Source organism: Homo sapiens, chromosome 6 (genome assembly GCF_000001405.40).
Source record: "Homo sapiens chromosome 6, GRCh38.p14 Primary Assembly".
Lineage (NCBI taxonomy): Eukaryota > Metazoa > Chordata > Mammalia > Primates > Hominidae > Homo > Homo sapiens.
Genome location: NC_000006.12, coordinates 134831022 through 134856769, shown reverse-complemented (window position 1 = coordinate 134856769; position 25748 = coordinate 134831022). Strand labels below are relative to the sequence as shown.

Sequence of the window (25748 nt, the reverse complement as noted above, 5' to 3'; positions counted from 1 at the left end):
TATTGGCCAAGCTGGTCTCGAACTCCTGACCTTGTGATCCGCCTGCCTCGACCTCCCAAAGTGCTGGGATTACAGGCATGAGCCACAGTGCCCAATCAATTTTTCTGATTTCTATCAGCAATATGTTCAAAAAGCAAAACTTGGACCAGCTTTAACATTATTTAGTCTGAAATTTAGTTTTGATTATTATTTAGTTGATGGTTTAATCTAGAAGACACTGTATCTTAAAAAGAATAATTTATTTCTTTATTTTACATAAGTCAGTTACTCCTTTGGGAGCCTGCAAAATAAGGTTGCGATGTGTTAACAGAGACCCTAGGTTGGAAACTCCTAACTTTCTAGCCAAATCTCACTATCTTTTTGTTCCTATAATTTAAAATGTTATTTTAATGACTAGAAATCCATTTCAGATACTCTGGCTGATTGTATTTTTTTTTTTCCAGACAGAGTTCTCACTCTGTCGCCAGGCTGGAGTGCAGTGACGATCTTGGCTCACTGCACCATCCACCTCCTGGGTTCAAGCAATTCTCCTGCCTCAGCTTCCTGAGTAGCTGGGACTACAGGTGTGCGCCACCATGCCGAGCTAATTTTTGTATTTTTAGTAGAGACGGGTTTCCACCACGTTGGTCAGGATGGTCTTGATTTCTTGACCTCGTGATCCGCCTGCCTTGGCCTCCCAAAGTGCTGGGATTGCAGGTGTGAGCCACCACCCCAGCCAGCTGATAGTATTTCTAACCCCTCTTCTCTCCCAAAAACTTTATGTAGTCAGTGGTTGTCATCGGATGGTTTTGCCCCCTAGAAAATATTTGGCGTCTGGGGGCATTTTTGCTCGTTACAGTCAAGGGAGTTGATATGGTTTGGCTCTTTCCCCCCACTGCCCCAAATCTCATCTGGAACTGTAATCCCTATGTGCCGAGGGAGGGACCTAGTGGGAGGTGATGGATCATGATTGCTGTTCTCATGATAGTGAGTTCTCATGAGATCCAGTGGTTTAAAAGTGTTTGGCAATTCCTGCCTCGCTCACTCTCTCTGTTACCACCATGTAAGACGTGCCTTTCTTCCCCTTTGGCTTTCACCGTGATTGTAAGTTTCCTGAGGCTTCTGCAGCCATACAGGGCTGTGAGTCAATTAAACCTCTTTTGTTTATAAGTTACCCAGTCTCCGGTAGTATCTTTATAGCAGTGTGAGAATGGACTAATACAGGAGTGCTACTGGGATCTAGTGGGAAGAGGCAGGGAAGCTGCTAAATAGCCTACAATGTACAGAAGAGCCCCCGACAAAGAATTATCCAGCTGAGTTCTAAGGATGGGAAATTCTGGTCTAAATAGATCTATCAGGTCCCATTTTGTATTAGGTGTCTGATTGGTTGTCCATTTTTCAATGCATTCTTTGCTGTAAAAAAAAAAAAACAAAAGGCAGCATCTGTGATCTCAGCAGAAAAAAAAAATTGCATGCAAGTATTTAGCCTACTTTCAAATTATAAATGTCATGCTTCTTTTAAATAGTCTTAAAATAAATCATTCCTGGGATTGCAAGTAACATTAACAGAGGCCTTCTTTCCCCCAAGAGAGAAAATCCTGATTAAGGAATTTCTAAGTAGTGAGAATAGCAGATTCATGAATTCCACATTAAAAGGCACTTTGGTGCTTAATACATTTCCTCTACTGAACTTTAGTATGGGATTGTTGACAATTCTCATCTGATACTCAGTAAAAAATGATCACTCTAATTATTTGAAAAGTGGAGAGCAGTTTATGTAAAACTCCCCCACCTGCTCTTAGTATCACCAGTGTAAATGATAATAACCCACCCATAAACCTCGTTCTTACTGGATTCAAGGAGAAACTTTGTGTTTTGGCCTCCAAGTGGCAGCAACAGCCTCCCTGAAGGCAGCAAATTGAGTGTCAGAGTGTCAGTGGGTGCTCAATGACATCTGACCTGGATGAATTGCTTCCCTAACTCTCAGTATGTCAGAGGGAAACCTGCACCCCCATGTTTATTGCAGCACTATTCACAATAGCCATAATATGGAATCAACCTAAGTGTCCGTCAGTGGATACACAGATAAGGAAGATGTGGTACCTATCCACAATAGAATAGCACTCAGCCATAGAAAAGAATGCAGTCCTGTCATTTGCAGCAACACGGATGGAACTGCAGGTCATTATGTTAAGCCAGGCATAGAAAGGCAAGCATTACATGTTTTCACTCGTGTAGGAGCTAAAAAATGTTAATTGCATAGTGTAGAGAGTAGAATGATTATTACCAGAGGCTGGGAAGGGTGTGTGTGGGGTGGGTGATGGGAGAGATGGGAATGAAGAAAGGTTGGTTAATGGGTACAAACATACAGTTAGATAGAAGGAATAAGTTCTAGCAGTCTATAGTACAATAGAGTGACTATAGTTAACAACAATATATTGCATATTTCAAAATAACTAGAAGACTTGGAATGTTCCCAGTACAAATAAATCATAAATGTTTGAGGTGATAGCTATCCTGATTACCCTGATTTGATCATTATGCATTGTACACATACCTCAAAATACACATGTACCCCATAAACATGTACAAATTATGTATCAATAAAATTTTTTAAAGTTTCCTTTATTGTAGCAATGATCAGCATTTTCTCCCGGTCCACCTGGGATGCTCCAACTGATAAAAGCTCATGAACATAAGCGAAGGGGGTGAGATTTTCATCTCTGAGCATTTGCAGTAAGAGCATGCTTAAGAAATTAAAAGTTACATTTCTTACAAGTAAAGAGAAGGGATGTCCAAAACAGCCCACTGAGAGCTGTTTGCTTAACTTCAAGTTCGCTTGACCTTGTTTTGACATCATCTGTGTGCTCTTATCTGCCTCATGATGATAATTTTTTCATCAGCTCCTGCAAAATATTCTGACTACAATGAAAGCTGACCTATCTTGTTTTGTTCAAATGGATTGGGAAACAAAACCATTAGGAAATCTCGGGGATAGAAATGAAGCCGAAATGGATTAACATTTGTTTTTAATTCATGAGTTCTATCGGTCTGGGTCACTGTGTATCAACTGGAAATGCAGGCTACATTTATTTAATCCCAAAGGTAGTTTAAACGTGTTTATATGTATATTCTGTGATTCACAGAGCTGTTTCTGAGCTTTTACAGTGTGCTTTGAAGTTTCAGTGCTTGAGAGGTGATAAAACAAGGTGACACCCAGCTTTAAGAGGAGGTACAGTATGTACAGTAGGCCTCTTGTCCCTTTCAAACTGTGCTGGGTTGGAACGTGACCTCACTGCTATCAGCCTCAGTACCATAAAAGAATGAATGTCCAGAGATCATCACTGGGTCCTTTGATAAAGAGGGCTGATTTAGAATAAAGAAATCCCAGTCAGCCTGAGTAATCATGTAATCAGAGAAACCACATGGGCAAGGAGAGGGAATTCTTAGCTACTGGCATGAGAGGCAAAGTCCACTCGGGTGACAACACAACCTTTCCTAGACCCTCAAATATGGAAGTGCAGCAAGTGACCCATAAAAGTGGAACCTAACACTAGGTCCATTTTATAATTAGCTTGCTCTTACTCAGGTACCAGTCACACAGCTTATGTTTCATGCTCTGCCTTCTCCTTCCTGTGGCTTGACTGTTAGCCAGCTTGGAGCTTAATGCCTTCAGAAACATGGTGGTTTTCCTGGAGAGATGATAGAATGTTCTGCCCCTGTGACAATTAAAAAGGAAGGGGCCAGGCACGGTGGTTGACGCCTATAATCTCAGCACTTTGGGAAGCGGAGGCGGGTGGATTGCCTGAGGTCAGGAGTTCGAGACCAGTCCGCCCAACATGGTGAAACTTCACCTGTAATCCCAGCTACTCGGGAGGTTGAGGCAGGAGAATTGCTTGAACCTGGGAGAAGGAAGTTGCAGTGAGCCGAGATCGTGCCATTGTACTCCAGCCTGGGTGACAAGAGCAAAACTGTCTCCAAAAAAAAAAAAAAAAAAGGTGATAAGTACACCTTTGTTCTTTAATCTCTATTGCTACATAAAAGAATACTTTCATATGTATCTGTATTTATTCATTTAGAGACAGAGTCTCGCTCTGTTGCCCAGGCTGAAGTGCAGTGGTGCAATCTTGGCTCACTGCAACCTCTGCCTCCCTGGTTCAAGGGATTCCCCTACCTCAACCTCCCGAGTAGCTGGGACTACAGGTGCGTGCCACCACGCCCAGCTAATTTTTTTGTATTTTTAGTGGACATGGGGTTTCACTATGTTGGCCAGGCTGGTCTTGAACTCCTGACCTCAAGTGATCTGCCCACCTTGGCCTTTCAAAGTGCTGGGATTACAGGTGTAAGCCACTGCACCCAACCTTTACTTTTCATATTTAATCCTGTCTCTGCTTGACTGAAGACCAGTGGCTTTCTGGAATTTTTACTCAATTCTCAGACCACTTATTGATGAACGGAAGCTCAGTGGGCCAGAAGTCACCACTTGCTTTTCCCTTCCTGGACCTCAGTCTGAGTGTGGGAGCTTATCCCAGAGAGGCTTGATTTTGATGCTACATTCTCACATAAATTCATCAGTCAGAGAAATTCTGGTAAATTCTTAGAGCCGGAGGAGTCTGGGGGATTGTCGTTGTTTTACATTTGAAGAAGTTCAGGACAAATAAGAGTAGTTGTCTAAAGTCACAAGGACATTGAATGAATGAGTCAAGATTTGCTTGAGGTGTTTTGGGTCCCAGTGTATCAGTCTTTTTACCACACTGCCTGAACAAAATTATGTAGTCTCATGTTTGGGCAATGCAAAAAAACATCATAGTGAAACAAATATTCACAGTGAATTATATTCAGGTGCCCAGAAGTCTCAGCTACAAAATATAAATTTATTTTAGCATGGTTTCCATGAACATATATCTTCAATAGGCTTTTCTGAAACTAGACCCCTAATTGTGTCACCGAGATGGGCGGGCTGTTCCCCATCAGCGCACCATGGCTCATTGGCTGCTTGTGGGAAGTGTCCTGAAGGTCCAGAGGTTGACACCGCCTGCCTTCTGTTAACTCACGGCTGGTCATGTTACCCTACTTCTGGCTATAACCTCCTCCCTTCCATGCTGCGATTCTCCACAAGATCTCAGGGATTTGAGAAACCAATACAACATACTTTTGTTTTCTTCCAAATTGAGAATGAGTTTGAGATGTCTTTTATTCTGCATTATTTGTTTCTAAGTGCAATATTGAGGTTTACCCCCTTATAAGCAATTAAATAGCATCTCTCAGGCTAAGAGATGACTCCAGGATATTTTAAAGCAAGAACTACTGGCTGGGCACGGTGGCTCACGACTGTGATTCCAGCACTTTGGGAGGCCGAGGTGGGTGGATCACTTGAGGCCAGGAGTTTAAGACCAGCCTGGCCAATTTGATGAAACCCTGTCTCTACTAAAAATACAAAATAATTAAAGAACCACTGCTCATGTGATTTAAGCCCATGGGGATTCTTAACTGGGCCTGTTATGAGTTTTACAAAGAGTTTATCATTTCATGAAGCTTCTACCGTAAGTCTCCTTCTATAGGTCAGGTCTGAAGGAGGGAGTCCCCTAGCAGGGAAGATTCGTAGTCAGTAATGAGACTTAGTCGTCAGGGTACTCTGCCGACCTTTGTGGAAAATGCGGAAGGGGGAGGCTGGAACAATAGGCCTGCTGCTCTGCATCTCTGTTGTGTTACGTGGGATGGAAAATGAACTTCAAAGCCTAACATGTTTCAAAACCCGAATCAAGCTGAGCCTCCTCCTGTCAGCCCACTGAGAGGCTGTTACCACAAGCAGATGCAGCTGATGCTTTATTATTTTGCAGGGAAGGGGTGGAGGGATCCTATTATTTTGCTTCCAAAGTGTAAAGCGTTCTTTTATGGTTGTGTCATCCTCACAAAAGGCCACATATTTGTATGATTCCATGTATATGAAGTGTCCCAAATAGGCAAATCCACAGGGACAGAAAGCAGACTCATGGGTGAGAGGGGACGGCGGAAGGGGTAGGGAGTGACTTCTATCGGGTAGGGCTTCTTTTTGGGGTCATATGGAACATCCTGAATTAGATAGTGGTGGGGTTGCACAATATAGAAAATATGCAAAAAACAATGAGCTGTTTACTTTTAGATGGTGAATTTCATGCTTTGTGAATTATATCTCTAAAAAATTAATATATAGTTGTGCCATCTTAAGATGAGAACGGGTGAAAAGTGACGGCTCTGCAATGCTCTGGATGACAATCGTGGCAGCTCGTGTTTATTGTGTACCAATCACTGTTCTAAGAGCCTGACCTGTGCTCACCCATTTAACCCTCACAGCAGCCCCTGAGGTGGATACTATCACTACTCCCATTTTACAGATGAGGGGACCAAGGCACAGAACAGTCCTGTGACTCATTCAATGCAACACAGCAGGAGCATGGCAGAGTCAGGCGCCTCACCTGGCAGTCTGGCTCCCAGGTCTGCCTCTGGCCTGCAGCGCAGCACCCCTTCTGGATTCCAGCAAGGTCACTGCAGGCAGGATACTGAAAAGACCATCAGAGAGTTCACATGAATGTGGGAGCTTAAGGTGACCCAGTCTTGAGTGTTGGCATGGGCTTCGTCTGCAGCAAAGGTCATTTGCACAAACAGATTAGCCCACCTAACTGTTGTGCCATCACAGTGGCTGACGTCAATGTCAATTCACCCTATTTGTTCAGAGCTGGGGCACACAGGTGTTTCTCACTGCAGATTGGTCTGTACCCATAAGCCTCTACCTCTCCAGGAGAACTTCCAGTGGGTGGGAGGGACAAACAAGCTTGGCACTCACTTCTGATGCAATATTGGCAGCTGTCTCAATGCATGCTGACCTTAAAGGTTATTATGAGCACAAAATACCATCCAATTTAGGTCCTCTGTAAGAAATAGACTAAAGCAATTTTGCAAATTGTTTTATGCTTTAAAATCAGACATCTGATCTCTGGGTGCAAGAAAAATGAGTCACTTTGAAGATCTTTAAAATGACCTTCACTTTAAGTCAATAATGCATAGAAATAATGCTCTAGCTACTTTCTATTTTGTTGAATACTTCAAAATATATAACGTCCAGTCTTCTAATTTATCCTTAGATTTCCCTTCTTCTTTCTTTCCTCCCTCCCCCCTCCCCCCCAACAAGTGAAACATAGGTACATGCTTGGCACCTGGTGCTCTAAGCCATGTGAACTGAGAGGTGAGATAGGGTACTGGGTAAGAAGAGTACAAGGACTAGCACAAACCCATTGCATGGGTTTGAAGCCCTGTGTGGCTACTCATCACCCGTATACCCTTGGGCAGGTTTATTTAGACTCTCCTTGCTTCCATTAGAAAGTGGAAGTGTGGGCTGGGGGCGGTGGCTCATGCCTGCTGTAATCCCAGCACTTTGGGAGGCCGAGGCAGGTGGATCACTTGAGGTCAGGAGTTCAAGACCAGCCTGGCTAACATGGTGAAACCCTATCTGTACTAAAAATACAAAAATTGGCCGGGCATGGTGGTGTACACCTGTAATCCCAGCTACTTGGGAGGCTGAGGCAGGAGAATTGCTTGAACCTGAAGGTGGAGGTTGCAGTGAGCCGAGATCACACTATTGCCTTCCAGCCTAGGCAACAGAGAGAGAGACTCCATCTCAAAAAAAAAAAAAAAAAAAAAAAGAGGTGTAAAATGGTGACAATCACAACACCTACCTCAGAGTGTCGTTGTGAAGTTTAAATGGCCCAGCAAGTACAAAACACTTAAGGTGGGCATTAAGGCCTTCATTATACCTGCGATTTATCTTAAATCTAGATACTTCAGTCTGATAAATGAACAATTAAAATGGCAACAGTAAGTCAGACATTTATTTGTGCCAATCCTTGTACTCTTCAGAGTGTGTTCCATTCACGACGTCATTTGATTATAATATAGTCCCCATTTGACCTATGGGGAAATCAGAAGAGTGAGAGGGGTTTGTTCAACATCACACAAGGAATTCATGTCTTAGCTGCTCCAGAACTCAATTTTCCTTATTCCTCAGCCAGTTTTATTTATTCTCAAAAATATTTTTATATAATTTTCATTAATTTCTTAGTGAGAAATTTACAAGAAAAAGAGAGTGTGTTTCAGGATTCAAAAATATTTGAAGATCAAACAACAGAGGCACATTGTTGGAGGGACAGAACTCAGGTCCAGAGCTCCAGCTTCTCTGAGTCCACAGCTGCTAGAGAAAGCCCCTGTTGGGCACTGTTTGTTCACGGATTACAGATTGTTGGAGCTTGTAGCAGTATCTGGTATAGTCAATCTTAACTTTTCATTTTATGGATTCAGAAACATTTCCAGGGAGCTGGAATGACTTTATTGAGGTTGCTAAACAGGTCAATATAAAACCTGAGAATCCAACTTATTGGTTTACTTCCAAGTCTATTTCCTTTCCATCTGAACACATTCCCTCTCACGGAGAAGAGAGCATACTCAGAGCTCCCAGGATGGCATCAGAACCAGGAAACGGCCTCCCTCTCAGCCTCCTTGTGCGTTCCTCTCCCGCTTCCTTACATACTGCACTGTGAGGCCCCGTCTCGATGGAGAAGCAGGGATCTGCCTGCCATACTTTATAATGTCTGATGTTCATGTACACATAGCAAGTTCACTGCAGTCCTCTGTTCCTGGGTTACAGCAAAGCCCTCTCTTCTGCCTCCAGTTCTCTCATAGCACTTTCCTTCCATCTAACCACCAGACTTGACAAATCATTTAATGTTTCTGTGAATCAGTTTTCCTACTACTAAAATAGGTACAATTCTACACATTTCATAAAGTTTATTGAGAGGATAAAATGAACTAATAAATGTACATGCCATGGCACAGTGTCTGGTATAGAATTAATATTGTTTCAGTATTATTATTATTCAGGACTGTTCTTCGGATTCATCTTACTAAGAATGGATACTCTCTTGGTGGGAGTGGGGACAAGTGATTTGCTCTGGGCTCCATATCACACAGTCTTGTATCTCTGGCTTCTGGTTTACCCAACTTCTGTTCTTAGTATTCTCAAGGGAAGCTTTACTAACCCTTTTTTGATGAACCCCTAAAGGTACTGGCTAGATTTCTTTTCTGATTAGAAGGTATGATCAGAGACATAATTTATATTCATCCAGAATGCTAAAGAGAATTGTGCATGCCTTCTGTCGAAAAGAAACATGCACACGTGACATTGAGAAGTCTCCAGGAGCAGTGGCGGGGTAGGTTCCATTTTTCCTGGCTTCGCCCAGGCAGTGTGCTGCCCCTCCGGACTGAGAGCCCAGCGTCAGAAGAGTGTGTGCTGATGCCTTTTCTCAGGAATGGTGCACAAGTCTTTGCTGAACTCTCTGCATTCTCTTGGCTGGCATCTCCATCAATAACAGCACACAATTATTTAGTGCTGGGGGCTTAGCCTAGCACAGACTTTTCATATGCAATTGAAGACTGGCTTGCTTGCCTTCATCTCCTGCTCAACCGTGCACCCCTTAACAGTAGAGATTATCTTGTTCATCCATCCTTTTCAAATAAATCACTGAATGGACAAACTTCAAAGCAAGGGAAATATCCATGAACAGGGAACAAAAGGTGTAACTTACTGAACTCTCCAGGCTTAGAAGACGAGACTTGGCATGACCTGGCCTTACCTTATCTTGCACTGCTCTCTCCTTTGCCCTCAGTGTGACCATCACTCTGGCTTCCTTTCATTTCCCCGTGCTTGTCATGTCCAGTCCTGCCATGCAGGGTGTGTGGTATTGTCTGGCAGGTTGTGCAGCACCCAAGGCTGCCCTATCAAAGGGTGCACTGATGCTGTTGAATACAAATATCATTCAAAACACAAACCACGAATGGAATTTTAAATTAAATTTTCTTGTAGCCTTTTTTAAAAAGTAAAAATAAAACTAAGCAAAAACCAAGTGAAATAAGGAATATGTTTTATTTAACCTAATATGTCAAAATAGTATAATTTCAACATATAATCAATGTAAAAATAATTGAGATAGTTTATATTTTTTACACTAAATATTTAAAATCTGATGTGTATTTTGTAGCATAGCACATCTCAATTAGTCACATTTTAAGTGCTCAGTAGCCACAGGCGTCTGGTCACTATGGTATCAGGTGGCATAGGGTTCTGCCATGAACACTCCAGATGATGTATTACAGAATTGTCTAAACAGTTTTCTGGAAGCTTGCAGTAAAAAGTCTTGCTCTAACACAAAATTAGTAAATTACGACAATTTTCCAGTAGAGGCAAAGGGATTGAGGAGTTGGTAACTGTTTTCTAATCTGCACACAGATGCTATCTGGACCAGTGGCCTTGCTACCATGAGGCTTTTGTGCATGCTGTTCCCTCTGCCTGGAAGCCACCCCCGCCCCTTACCATTTGGTTAATGTCTGCTGGTGTTTCTGTTGAATTGTCACGTCTGCGACGTCTTTATTCTGTCTTGTTGCAGAACTCTATTTCTTTGCTTATAGCACTTATGAGGATTTGTAATGATATATTCATGTGTGAGATGATTTGATTACATTCTGTCTTCAACACAAAATGGTCAGCTTTAAGAGGGCAAGTTCACATCTGGTTTTGCTCATCGTGAATCTCCAACTTGGAGCATAGCACTTGGTGCAGAGAAGCTCAGCAAAGATGCCCTAAGCAACTGCTTGGCTGGACACACGAGTCAATGACAACCAGCCTGAGCCTTCTGAGACACTCATCTCCTGTGACTCTGGATATAGACGCCTTCTTCTCTGGCACCAGGAAAAGGCACAGACGGGGATGTCATCCAGGCCTTCTCAAGGGAAGAAAACTGACTGTCCTCTCTCTCATGGCTCATAGGTGTTTCTCATTTGATGTGTGTTGAATGCATCTGGCTGGTTTCATCGAAGCTATTCCCTGTTCTCAGGTGCCCTATGTCTCTTTAGAGTTGAATAACCTTGAGTTTCATCTTTGACTCACTCAGGAGATTAAATCTTTAATGGCCACTTAAACACATTTTTAATGTAGGTCAGTTGGTTATAGGGAAAGCCAGCAAGTCAGCCGATAAAACACTCTAAATCTTGACATCTACAGGATTGTGTAAGTACTTATTTGAAATCTGGGAGATGGCAAGCTGGAAAATGTACTTCATTGCTTCATATACTATCTTCTCCCTTCCCATCCTTGTAGGATTCCCATCAAGTAAAATCCAGGCCGGTCGTGGCGGCTCATGCCTGTTACCCCAGCACTTCGGGAGGCTGAGGCAGGCCAATTGCTTGAACCCAGGAGTTTGAGACCAGCCTGGGCAACATAGTGAAATTCTGCCTTAAAAAAAAAAAACCCTCAAAAATTACCTGGATGCACACCTGTAGTCCCAGCTACTTGGGAGGCTAAGGTGGGAGGATCACTTCAGCCCGGGAGGCAGAGGTTGCAGTGAGCCGAGATCGTGCCACTGCACTCCAGCCTGGGTGACAGAGTGAGACTCCATCTCAAAAAAAAAAAAGGACACTTCAGATAATTGTGCAGAAACAGCCTCAATTTGAGGGGAAACAAACCAAGTCAAGAACCCACTAATATTTCTATTTCTTTTTTTCTTTTTTTGAGACAGAGTCTTGCTGTCACCCAGGCTAGAGTGCAGTGGTGTGACCTTGGCCCATGGCAACCTCCGCCTCCCGGGTTCAAGCGATTCTCGTGCCGCAGCCCCCCGAGTAGCTGGGATTACAGGCATGTGCCACCACGCCTGCCTAATTTTTGTATTTTTTAACGAGAAGGGGGTTTCACCATGCTGGCCAGTCTGATCTCAAATCCTGGTCCAAGTGCTGAGATTATAGGTGAGCCAGTGTGCCCGGCCTAAAAACCCACTAATATTTTCGATTGTTCCTTGAGTTCTTGATAAGGCCTTACTGAAAAAAATGTTTCAACCAAAAAAATGCCTTCCATTACTAAAGTGAAAATAGAACTGGTGACTTTAGGGTGTTGGGCCAGATCTCAGTGAGGCCTCTAAATTTCAGGCCTGTCTCTGAAATTTAGAATTCTATATCTTATGGCTAAAATAGTCAAGTAGGAAAAAATAGTTAAGACATATAAAAGGCAATAGAAGTATTTCATAAGTTAGGAAATGCTCAGTGCTCATATTAGCCAGTTTATTCCAACCGGGCTCTAATGATCTTGGAGGATAATTTGGCTCAGCTGGGGAGGTAAAGCAACACATCATTAATTAAACACTTTCTACTCTAATTTCTACCAGGCTTGGCAACACGCATGTAAGGTGGTTTCTTACATAGTAAGATTAAAAGGAAGCTGCCTTGAAGTGTCTTGATCAAGACTGTGTCTTGCACAAATCTGCCTAAGTGCCCATAAGCCCCAGAATTGAGATATACTCCTTTGTATTGAAGTATTAAATCTCAGGCAATATCATATTAAAATGGAAATTTTCCTCCCCACACCCCTCCCTTACCCTAAGAGAAAGTGTGCAGTCAGCTATTCTCAGCAACAGCCTCCTTGGGTTGTCTTTGACAGGGGTCCCCAACACCAGGCCACCGGTCCATGGCCTATTAGGAGCTGGGCTACACAGCAGGCAGGTGAGCCAGCATTACCACCTGAGCTTTGCCTCCTGTCAGATCAGTGGCGGATTAGATTTTCACAGGAGCACAAACCCTATTGTGAATTGAGCATGCAAGGGATCTAGGCTGCCTGCTCCTTATAGGAATCTAATGCCTAATGATCTGAAGTTGGATCAGTTTCATACCAAAACCATCCCCTCCCCTCACCCCACTCCCATGGAAAAATTGTCTTCCATGAAGCCAGTCCCTTCCGTGAAACCAGCCAAAAAGTTTGGGGACTGTTGGTCTTTGACACTTGGTAATGGTAATTGTGGGAAGGACACATAGGCTTTTAGATCAGAGCCATGATGTAGGAAAAACTGTCTTAAAGCATGTTTTCCTGCTCCTCTCATACTAGCACCACAATCGTCAACACAGAAGACTTCTGTGACCAAATGTGTGGGGGTTTTTCCTCACACACCAAGCAGTGGACAACAGTGGAGTGTCTTCCAGTTCAATTCCAACACTATCTACCTGGAGATACGTCAGATCCCACAGGCTGGGGGCTCAGTCCCATAAGACTGCTTCCCATAACCCCAGACACCAGCGGTAGCAAGTCCAGGCTTCCTAAACTTCTAACCTACTGGCTTCGAGTTGGGGTTCCCACAACCCCCTCTTTGGGTCCCATTAATTTGCTGGAGTGGCTCACAGAACTCAGGGAAACGCTTACTGGTTTATTATGAAGGATATTGCAAAGGATACAGATGAAGAAATGCATAGGGCAAGGTATGGGGGAAGGGGTGAGGAGCTGCCATGCTCACCCTGGGGCACCACCCTGCAGGAACCTCCACATGTTCACTATCTGAAGCTTATTGACCCCTGTCCTCTTGGGTTTTTATGGAAGCTTTGTGATGTCAGCATCCCTTCCTCCAGTGTATAGGGCAGGACCCTCTTTTGGGAGGGTCTTAGGACCTACAATCAGAAAGGTGGGGGAAGATTAGAGTCCTGCCTTGGGGCCAGTGGAAGGAAGACAGGAGAGAGATTCTATATCCTGAGGTCTGCCCGTGAGGCCCAACACACCCAACATGATAACAAAAGATGGTAACAAGGGCTTTGGGAGTTGTGAACCAGGAACCGTGGATGAAAAGCAATATATAACATAAACATCAAAGCTTAAAACTGGACCTTTATAAACAAAATTCTATTCTTTTTTTTGAGATCAAGTCTTGCTCTTGTTACCCAGGCTGGAGTGCAATGGAGCGATCTCAGTTCACTGCAACCTCCGCCTCCCAGGTTCAAGCGATTCTCCTGCCTCAGCCTTCCAAGTAGCTGGGATTATAGGCACCTGCCACCACACCGGGCTAATTTTTGTATTTTTAGTAGAGACGGGGTTTCACCATGTTGGCCAGGCTGGTCTTGAACTCCTGACCTCAGGTGATCCGCCTGCCTCAGCCTCCCAAAGTGCTGGGATTACAGGTGTGAGCCACCGTACCCAGCCACAAAATTGTATTATCTTTACAAGTTCTTCAAGTTTAGGATTTGTTTTCTTGCTTATAATGAGGGGTAGTATTAATAGACTACTCATTAGGGCTGTTATGAAGAATGAATTATGTGATGGCTGTAATGCAGGGAGTACATAGTTACTCAAAATGGTTGTCAATACACAGAGAAGTGGAGAGGTAAATTATGATAAAGATGGAAGTTCAGATTAGGGGCCCTGCCTGGATCTGCTGATCCAGAAGACTGGAGAGAGCATGAGGCCATGGGTTCGTGAGTGTTTGGGGGAGAGGCCTGGGGAGGAAGAGAGGAGGGAAAAGTAGAGCATCTGGCAAGGGAGAAACATGCCAGCACAATTATCACCGACTTTAAGCTTCACACTTATCACAGCACCTAGGTGATGTATGTGAACTAGGATTAATAGAACGATGATGATGTCAATATATCACAATTAGGACAGGAAAAAAAAATGTACTGCATATACAGAAAAGAACTGTAGCATGTAATCCAAATTTTATGTAAATTCACTGACTTATGCAACCTGCTTTGCCCAGCATCGAGCTTGCTAGGTACTGTTCTAAGCACCGGGGGGTACAGCAGTGAGAATAACAGCCTGTGGCCACGGAGCTCACATGCTTATGGGGGAGGCAGACAGAAACCAATAAATACAGAATCTATCAGGTAGCGATGAATGTTAAGAAGAAAAAAGAAGGTAAAGATACAGGAAGTGTTGAGGGATGGTGTTTTAGATAGGGTGACCAGAGAAGTCCTCTCTAATATGGTAAAACTTATTAAAAAACAAAAACTCTCTTCATTTGTTCAACTTATTGAACATACCCATTTGGAGTACCAACTGTGTGCTAGGTTCTGTGCGAAGAGATGGTAACACAGTCATGGAGAAGAGTCACAAATTCCTTCCCTTTCATGGAGCTTTCATTCTTATGGAGAGGAGGAGAAATAAATATATAAACAAATAAATAACTTCAAACGGTATAAATGTGTAAAGGCAGTAGATAACAATGGGGAATATGATAGAATTGTTCTTTGGAGGTGGGGGCAGGGATAGGGGAAATGGGTGAGCAGTTGTAAGGCAGAATTAACAACTCTAGGCTGGGTGCAGTGGCTCATGCCTTGAGCTCAGGAGTTTGAGACCAGCCTGAGCAGCATAGGGAGACCTTGTCTTTATTCAAAAAGTAAAAAGAAATATAAAAAAGAATTAACATCTCTAGAGGACTTTAACAAATGCATGATAAAAATTATAATTTAGACTGGGTGTGGTGGCTCATGCTTGTAATCCTAGTGTTTTGGGAGGCTGAGGTGGGCAGATAGTTTGAGCTTAGGAGTTCAAGACTGGTCTGGGGAACATGGTGAAACCCGTCTCTACAAGAAAATACAGAAATTAGCCAGGTGTGGTGGTGCATGCTTGTAGTCCCACCTACTCAGGAGGCTGAAGTGGAAAGATCACCTGAGCCCAGGAGGCAGAGGTTGCAGTGAGCCAAGATCATGCCACTGCACTCCAGCCTGGATGACAGAGCCAGACCCTGTCTCAAAAAAAATTATAACTTTATTTTAACATGTAATATGTATATTTGTAGTCCTAGAACATCTTTAATACATCAGAATATGTTAATAAGAATTTGGTCACAATTAATTTCTATGTATGAGAGTATGAAAAAAATTGCTGGGATATTGTATATATCCCCCCACATTTTTTTAAAACCATCTCCCTATTGATGGACCCGATTTTTCCTCTTTATGGTTCCCCATGACTTGAGTATTTTAAAGGAGTGGCTAACATTCTCCATACTCTTCACTTACTTGAACCATCTCAGCATATCCACCATGTGCTGACATCTCTAGCTAAATGAAGTATGCTTAATATTGTAGTTTAAGGCACTCTGGTTATTTCTAGAGTAATCTTGAGATCTTTACACAGCCCAGTATGGCTACCCTTACTCTCCCAAAGTGAAGCTTAATGTCAACTTTTTCAGATCTACTTTCTGCTACTGAGACAATGTTTAACAATTTGTAAATGATCCCAGACACAAAAAGCCTTATGATGTCTTTTTTCAGTGGTTCCAGCTGGAGAACTGCAGGATGGATTCCTTCCAGCCATTTTGAAATTGAGTCAAAGTCTCTTCTTTAGAGAGTTCATTCTTAAGATATTTTGTCCCCATGACTTAGTTACCTAAAAACGTAGTAATTTGCTCTCCTCAGATTTTAAACTGCTTTTCCAGGTAAACACTTCTATTTCTATAGCTTGAAGTGATGATAAATAATATGCTATTGCTTTCCTTTCTGTAAGTCCAGCCCGCACCACATTCACTTATCAATAATTTACTGGCAGCTCTGCCTAGATATGCCATAGGGTGAGAAGCTTACCATCTAAAATGAAACTCTTCTTTCCCCTCCAGTTGGTTCTACCTCCTGTGTTTCTTCTCTTGGTTAATGATTTCCCACTTCAGCCACTTCAGCCAGAAATCTAAAGGTCATTGTCTTTCTTTTACCCACCCCTCTCACCAACTGCTGGTGGGTGAGTCCTATTGTTTCTACTCCTTAACGTCTACAAGATCTGGCCTCTTGGCCGGGCGCAGTGGTTCACGCCTGTAATCCCAGCACTTTGGGAGCCCAAGGCAGGTGGATCACCTGAAGTTAGGAGTTCGAGACCAGCCTGACCAATATGGTAAAACCCCGTCTCTACTAAAAATACAAAAAAAATCAGCCAGGAGTGGTGGCGTGCACCTGTAGTCCCAGCAACTTGGGGGCTGAGATAGGAGAATCACTTGAACCCAGGAGGTGGAGGCTGCAGTGAGCAGAGATTGCACCACTGCAATCCAGCCTGGGTGACAGCAGGACTCTGTCTCAAAAAACAACAACAACAACAAAAATCTGTCCTCTCCTCACCATGCCCCAGCTGTTGTCTCAGTTCAGCCCTCATTTATTCTCTTGTGCTAGTTTTAAATTCATCCTTCACACAGTTAACTGAGAGATCTTAAGACGCAAATCTGATTATTTAGCACTGTGTTACTTAAAATTCCTCCTAGGTTTTCAGTCAGTGTTTACAGATTAAAATTCCTTGGCATGGTGCAGAAGACCCTTCTTCACTGGGGGTCAGGCCAACCTCATTTAGACTCATCTTGTTCTGTTCCTTGTTGCTGTAGTTCCAGCAACCATCCTCACGATCATTGTGCCACACATACTGTGCCAAGGGCCTCCCGGGTAGGATTTCACTTACTTTGCAATTAATGTTCACAACATTCTTATCAGGTAGGCGCTATTCTTACCTCCATTTTACAGTAGGTATAACATTCCCAAGGTTACACATGTGGAGAATTGAATTTTCAATACAGGTCTGCTTTCTGAAGTCTGGGCTTGTGACAATTTTGCCTTACATTATGTCCATTTCTCTTACCTGTGGCACACTTCTTTAGCCCCATGGCATTCGCACCTACCATCTCCCTTGGTCAACGTGCCTTCTGCCACACTCACCTTCAAGGACGCTCTTTAGACAGTACTTCCATAGGGCAGTGGGATACACCACACTCTCCTTCAACTTGCATTACGCCCCCTCCTCTCTTGTGGCTCTCATAGTTCTGTATGGCACTTATGTTTTGCATGTCTAGTATGGTTTGGCTGTGTCCTCACCTAAATCTCATCTTGAATTGTAATCCCCATAATCCCCACATGTTGTGGGAGGAGCCAGGTGGGATATAATTGAATCATGGGGACAGTTTCTCCCCATACCGTTCTTGTGATAGTAACTGAGTTCTCACAAGACCTGATGGTTTTGGAAGTGTCTGGCATTTCCTCTGCTTGCCCTCATTCTCTCTCCTGCCGCCCTGTGAAGAGGTGTCTTCTGCCATGATTGTAAGTTTCCTGAGGCCTCCCCAGGGATGTGGAACTGTGGGTCAGTTAAACCTCTCTTCTTTATAAATTACCCAGTCTCAGGTATTTCTTCATAGTAGCACGAGAACAGACTAATACAAGTTCGGACCCCCACCTCTGGGCTATGTATTCCTTGGGAGCAGAAAGAGTATTTTATTATTTGTAGAACTCTAGTGCCTAGTACAGTATCTGAAACATGGCAGGCTAAATGCCCATCAGTGATAGACTGGATAAAGAAAATGTGGTGTGTATATGTGTGTGTGTGTATATATATATCATGGAATACTAAGCAGCCATAAAAAAGAATGAGATCATGTCCTTTGCAGGGACATGGATGGAGCTGGAGGCCATTATCCTTAGCAAACTAACACAGGAACAGAAAACCAAACACCACATGTTCTCACTTATAAGTGGGAGCTAAATGATGAGAACACATGGACACATAGAGGGGAACAACACACACTGGGACTTATCAGAGGGTGGAGGGTGGGAGGAGAGGGAGGATCAGGAGAAATAACTAATGGGTACTAGGCTTAATACCTGGTACCCATTATTAGATGAAATAATCTGTACAACGAACCCTCATGATACAAGTTTTATCTATGTAAAAGAACCTGTACATGTATCCCTGAACTTAAAAGTTAAAAAAAAAAGAAGTATGGTAGACACTCAACAAATATTTGTTAAATAAATGAATGAGTATATGAATGAATAATTAAGTCTGGGAACAGGATCAAGGCTGAGCTTATCCATCCTCTTTACTAAAGTGAGTTGATAGAAGTCTTTACCTTTTATCTGTTAAACTCCCTCCCTGAATTTTCCCAGCATCTGTATTCTAGGTTGAACGCACATGCGTTTATTCCCTCATTCATTAATTCCTTACGCATGTATTGAGTGCTACTAAGTCCCAGCTAAACTCTATGACACAAAGATGAATAACAAGAATCTCTGTCCTCAAAGAGCTCACAATGTAAAAAATGAAAACTAGTCAGTAGATGATTATAATACAATGAGACACGCTTAAAAGAATTGTGTAATATGTTCAGATTGCATAAAGAAGAAAGTTTCTACTTCATTTAAGGAAAGAAGAAGGGATTTAAAAGACGACATAGTAGCTGAGTCTTTTTTTTTTTTCCTGAGATGGAGTCTTTCTCTGTTGCCCAGGCTGGAGTGGTGCAGTGGTGCAATGGTGCAATTTTGGGTTCAAGTGATTCTCCTGCCTCAGCCTCCCGAGTAGCTGGGATTACAGGTATGTGCCACTATGCCTGGCTAATTTTTGTATTTTTAGTAGAGGCGGGGGTCTCACCATGTTGGCCAGGCAGGTCTCGAACTCCAGACCACAAATGATCCTCCCGCCTTGGCCTTCCAGAGTGCTGAGATTACAGACGTGAGTCACAGTGCCCAGCCTAGGAGCTGAGTCTTAAATGATGGAAAAGGTAGGAGGCAAAATGATTTCAGGGTTGTGGAAAGGCTTGAAATGAAGTGCACTGGAAGCGGCAAGCAAAGTACAAAGACATGGAGGCAAATGCGTTCATGGGATGATGAGGGTGGTCTCCCTGTATGGGAACATGAAATTGACAGGTAGCTGGGATCCAGGTCCACACAGATTTTGGGTGCCCTAGGAAGGAGTGCAGACTTGATTGTAAACACAGGAGCACCAGTGGAGGAGTTCAAGCATGCGAGTGAAGCAATCCATATTTTTGGCTTTTAGAATGATCACCCTGGGATCTACATGGAAAATTGATAAGGTCCTAAGTTAGGACAGCTGCTGTGGGAATGAAGAAGGAGGGATGGAATTGAGAGGTGTTTGAGATCTAGAACAAGCAGAACTTGACAACTGAAGAAATGTGGGTAAGCCCTATAGAGAGATGTGGAAGAAGAGGAGTGAAGGTTGGTGCCACTAAGTGAACTTGGGATATGTGGTTCTATCTCTTTAAGAGAAAAAATGCTCCAGATACAATAGGAGGCTAAAGGATTTTTTTAATATTCATTTAATTGAATAAAAATATTCTCTTAAAAACTTTTTATTTGGATGGAGGGCCATATGCTGCCTTTAAATATTTAAGTACTTTTGTGTCAGGGATATGTTCCAAAAATCCATTGGTAGTTAATCTCTCTGAATTAGTGGCTCTTCAACTTAGGTTCTTTAGGCCCCTGGGAACAAGAAGGACCTGGGCAGGCAGAGCTCAGGGCCACTTCCAGGCTGCAGCAAGCACAGCACCACCCTTATTTGTTGTCACAGTGAGCTTACATGTGGAATTTCAGAAATGGCTCTGGGGCTGTAAAATCTTCAAAATCACTAGTCTAAATATCAGTTACTTATGTGATATGTTTTATTAAAGTGTTTGGCTGTAGTTCTGTGTTATGGGGTGTTTCTTTTGTTTGTGTTTATTGTTTGTTTCTATCTTGGAAAATGGGGTTCACATCAGGGGAGCTATATTCACAAATCTGGTATATTGTGTCTGATTGTCTTTAATGTAAGAGAAAGGTTGTCTTACTTGCTACATTTTCTGTTTCCTAATAAACACACAGCCATCTCAGGCCACAACGAACGGTCCATGTTTCTCTTAACAATGGCATTAGAATAAAACATCTGTCACCAGAGCAGGCCACAGGGCCCTTGGTGTTTTTTCCCATCAGTCCTACTGAAGTGAAAAGTGAAAGCTAGCCACAAATCAGCTGAGAATTAGCACAAGCTGTTGTTTTTTGAGTTTTCCAAATATTTTCCAACTCCCATTGTGTGTTTTTGTGTTTTGCACTCAAAACCCTTGCCAAAACCTCCTCCAACAGCATTCCTTCCTGGATTCCTAAGTCATTTGGAGAGCAAACAAAACTCCTCATAGGTCATTAATCTCATGGATATATTTATATTTGTTAAAAATGAGGAGATGACTAGAATACATATTTTTGTTACCTTTGGATCCACAAATTCATTTTTTAAAATTAAGACCTTTGCAAACTGAATTTATATAATCTATGTTTGATTTGCATTTGGGGGATAGTTTTCAACTGAGCGAATACTTAAAATGTATTTAAAATGAAAATCACACCCTCGTGGAGTTAGTAGGCATAGAAATTGAAGAAAGCATAGATAGAACAAGAAAAGACAGAAAGCTGGGTGACTTACCTACAAAGCACAAGCACATCCATGTTTTTCTTTTTCTGATATATGTATTTTACTGCCCATGGACAGACTAGTCTTGGAAAAAATCTTCTGCTTATATCTTTTTGTTAGATACTTTGAATTTTCAGTATGACCTTTCCCCTGCAACCATCATTAAATTCTCTAAATAATAACAAGACAGTTTTCCTTTTTTCTACTTGTATTTATGGGAACTGTATTAAAATTGATTAAAATAAATCATGTGTGTTAAGTACTAATCTCATTTTCTTTCTTTTATTCCCATGGCCAATGTTACAGTGTCAATATGGATGTCTTTGTGCCCTAGGGAGACAGAAAACAGAGGTTATCCATCTTTGCCAAGGAGATTGATGTCTTAGTCAATATCATCATGGGACACCTGGAAAAACTGGCCACTCTTCTCCCTACAACTCCTTCCTGATTTTCAGCTCACCAGGGGTCCTGCTCTTGTTCCTCCCATTATTATGGCCAGAGAATGTCAAGCTTTAGTAACTCCCTGTACAAAATGCCCTTGAAGAAAGATAAGAAAGTGTCAGAAAAGAATACGTCCTCATTATAATTCCTCCACCTCCTTGGAAAGTGTTATTTGACTCAGTTTCCCTCTCACTTGGGGATAGTGGGTGTTTCAGGCATCCTAGGTCTATTGCTTTTGATTCTTATCAGTCAACACAATAGTAAGGTCTTTTCTATGATGTTGCTTTTGCATTTTATATTGTCTCACTAAGTTTCAAAACATCTAGTAATGACCATTTCCTTACATTATAATTTAAAGTCAGCTCCCCGCTTTGTAACAAGCCAATTAGTTCCACCTTGCAACAGATAGGGGGAGAAGCTGTTGTTCTAAATGTTAGGCCATTTTTTTCTTATTATTTTAAATCAGTGTTCCATTTTTCCCTGTTGATTTTTAAACTCAAAATCTGTTGTGTGATTTTGAAGACTATGAAAATGGGAGGAAAATGAAAAACATCTCCAAACATACTAATATTTTAAACCCCTTTGGTACGTACACACAGAATTATTGTAGTTTGCATGTGGGATCTTGATTGTGTTGCTATGAATTATTTAAACACAGCTTATGCAACATAGAGAACTAGTGTCTAAAACTATGAACAATCATTTCCTTACTTTTGAGGTCGTGTGTTTATTGGTTCTGCCGATGTCATCAAGGGATATTTTATTTTCTATCAGCCTAGCTTTCAGACTTGCTTCTGGCTTTGACTGCTAGTCTATTAACAAGTTTTTCTAAATTCAACCTGTTGTGCGTGGAAACCGTGTCACATGTGACAAAACAATGACCCACATACCACAAACTTCAGGTTGGCATCTATGACGTTCAGGCTGACTCCTGTTTCAAAAAATGTCTAAAATTATAGCATCTATTTGATTGCTTTTCCACAAGGGAAACGGTCTAGGAAAATACCCCCGGGCTCTGAAAGTTGTTAGAGCTTTAGCTTTAGTTACCTTTATTTTAGGGTCCAGCTTAGCTCTCTGCAAATATCGTCTTATGTTTTTGTTTTTCCCTTATGAAATAACTCACTATATCTGTGAGCTAATTAAAGGTCCTTTGAATTTCTTTACTGTACCTAGAAAAGTCTCCTGGGGTGAAATGAGTGCACAGTAATCTCTGTTTTTCTCTTCCTCCCTCCCTCCCCTAACCCACCCTCCCTCCCCCTTTCTCTCTGTGGACTTGAGGAGGGATCCCTCCGTTAGTGATAAATATTAAATCCTACACTGTGCTTAAAAGGATAACTAGGCCGGGTGCAGTGACTCATGCCTGTAATCCCAGCACTTTGAGAGGCCCAGGTGGGTGGATCACCTGAGGTCAGGAGCTCCGAGACCAGCCTGGCCAACATGGTGAAACTCCCGTCTCCACTAAAAACACAAAAATTAGCCATGTGTGGTGGCAGTCACCTGTAATCCCATCTACTCGAGAGGCTGAAGCTGTAGAATCACTTGAACCCGGGAGGCAGAGGTTGCAGTGAGCTGAGATGGCACCATTACACTCCAGACTGGGCAACAAGAGTGAAACTCCGTCTCAAAAAAAAAAAAAAAAAAAAAAAAGGATAACTAAAAATACACATATAATGGGGTAGATTTGATTTAATAAACATTTAATATGAAAAAAAGTCCCCTGGAGCAGGGGTGGGTGACTAGTTGGCTGTGAGTTAGCAGTGTGGCATGGCCACGAGTCCTGCAGAAGGCTTTTAGGTCTAGGTCAGCACCAGAGAAGGGTCCACAGTTGTGGAGCAATCCTTGAGGCCTCTGACACTATCTTTGTCTCCAGGTCCTGCATTTCAAGTGAAATTTTCCCCAAAGTTCACCCAGTGAGGAGCAATCAGAATCATTGGATCTTGAAACAGGGGCATTTGAGTGATGAGCCAGGAAAAATATGATTCAGGATGGTGCATAATTACTCTTCCAGATGTTTGAAGGGTGTTAAGAGGAAGACAGAGTCCATGTCTTCATGTGGCTTCAAGAGCAAAATTCTGGCCAGCAGGTAAAATTATAGCAAATATATTTCAGGCTGGGGGCCGTGGCTTATGCCTGTAATCCCATCATTAGGCAAGGCCGAGGTGGGAGAATCCCTTGAGTTTAGATGTTTGAGACCAGCCATCATGAGATCCCTATCTTTACAAAAATCTTACAAATTAGCTGGCATAGTAATCCCAGCTACTTGGGAGGCTGGGGTAAGAGGATTGCTTGAGCCCAAGAGTTCAAGGCTGCAGTGAGCCAAGATTGGCCACTGCACTCCAGCCTGGGTGACAGTGAGATCCTGTCTCTAAGAAAAATGAAAAAGAAAAAGCCCATTTCAGCTTAAGGAAAGAAAGCCATTTCCAATGGTCCCAGCTCTCTGAGATGGGAGAAGAGTGCTACAGGATGTATGTAGTGAGTCCCTGTTCCTAGGTTGAGGACAGGGAAGATGGCTGCTCCCCTTGAGGGGATGTGGCAGGGATTGGACCGAACGTCTCTGTGGATCCTATCAACGCCAAGATCCTCTGGTGCTGTTAGAAAACACGAATTCTCTGTTTCTAAATAAGTGAAGTTTCAGCCTATGACAGGCTCTCTACAAAAACAAAATGCAAATGTACATTAGGGACAAATGGGCTAAGTTCTGGGATCCTGGAATGAGGCTGCCTGGGTTTACCGTTTATGAGACAATATTGTTACCTTCTCAATTTTCCCATGTGTAAACTGGAAGTGTTAGTAGCATGTGTCTCTTAAGGTTGTTGTAAGGATTAAGCAGGTTAGTGTATGTAAAGATGTTAGATGGGGGAAGGCACAAGCAAGCTCTGTGTATGGGTTAGCTGTTTCTAGCATTACCAAGGCACTTTCTGCATGAAAGTACAAAGTTAATGTTGCATCTTCAAAAATCAAAGTAATCAGATATTCAGATAGTGGAGTCCCGATGAGCGAGATTCCACTGGGCAGTCTGGTCCAAATTCATCCTCCACTTTTTCAACTGAATACAGAACATCAATCTAGAGAATTGTTTTGTTTTGTTTTTTTTTGAGACAAAGTCTCACTCTGTCGCCCAGGCTGGAGGACGGTGGTACGATCTTGGCTCACTGCAGCCTCTGTCTCCTGGGTTCAAGCAATTCTCCTGCCTCAGCCTCCTGAGTAGCTGGGATTACAGGCACGCATCACCACGCCCAGCTAATTTTTGTATTTTTAGTGGAGATGAGGTTTTGCCATGTTGGCCAGGCTGGTCTCAAACTTCTGACCTCAAATGATTCACCTGCCTCAGCCTCCCAAAGTGGTGGGATTACAGGTGTGAGCCACCGTGTCCAGCCCCAATCTAAATTTTTTGTACCATTAGTGGACAATGATTTTTCTTTTTTACTTTTTTTTGTTTTTTGAGGCAGAGTCTCGCTTTGTTGCCAGGCTGGAGTGCGGTGGCACGATCTCGCTCACTGCAACCTCCGCCTCCCAGGTTCAAGCAATTCTCCCGCCTCAGCCTCCCAACTAGCTGGGATTGCAGTGGCGCACCACCATGCCTAGCTACTTTTTGTATTTTTAGTAGACACAGGGTTTCCCCATGTTGGCCAGGCTAGTCTTGAACTCCTGACCTCAAGTGATCTGCCTGCCTTGGCCTCCCAAAATGCTGGGATTACAGGCGTGAGCCACCGCGCCTGGCCATGGACAATGATTTTTCTAACTCAAACAAATACCAAAATGCATCATATAGTTGTTCAATGAGTAGCTTTCACCATGAGACAATAAATAATTTAGTTAACATTTCTTGGTCTTCTCTAAAATATCAAAAGCTTTCCAATTCACTTAAGCTGGCTAAACCCCTAATTATTATTCTAGCAACAAAACTGGGGCCAGTTCCAGGCATCAGTGTGAAATGGCTTTCTCTGAATTGTAGCATAAATGATAAATAAATAATGCCTAATATTAGAGGTAACTGAATTAGAGTATGTTTAGTGCAAGCATCTATTGCAGCAGAAAAAAGATTCAGCAGAGAGAGAAGAGGACATTTTGGATCAAGAAAAAAACACAATAGCATGTGTAAGAGGTTATTAACTCTGCACCATTTGCCCACTCCCTTAGTAATGTTTAACAAGGCTTTATTGATTACAATAGCCTTGATTTGTAAATGGGAACAGAAGATCACATTGTTGGCACCAGACCAGTCCTTGCCTACAGCATCTGCCAGCTGAAGACTTCATTAATAATTGACTTTAGGGGGATTATACGCGCCCATATG

General features: G+C 42.6%; 1 long non-coding RNA gene across 2 annotated transcripts in view, besides 1 other annotated feature; it reads left to right on the top strand.

Annotated features, from left to right (window-relative positions):
* The window catches only part of LOC101928277 (uncharacterized), a 205476-nt gene that overhangs the window by 22595 nt on the left and 157133 nt on the right, over nucleotides 1–25748 (top strand). The window lies entirely within an intron of this gene.
* Nucleotides 5427–5960: an enhancer, noted in NCBI's record as "NANOG hESC enhancer chr6:135171948-135172481 (GRCh37/hg19 assembly coordinates)". NCBI's record gives its function as "activates a minimal SCP1, AML or CMV promoter by ChIP-STARR-seq in naive H9 embryonic stem cells {active_cell/tissue: H9 hESC(naive)}" and the evidence as "EXISTENCE:reporter gene assay evidence [ECO:0000049][PMID:30033119]".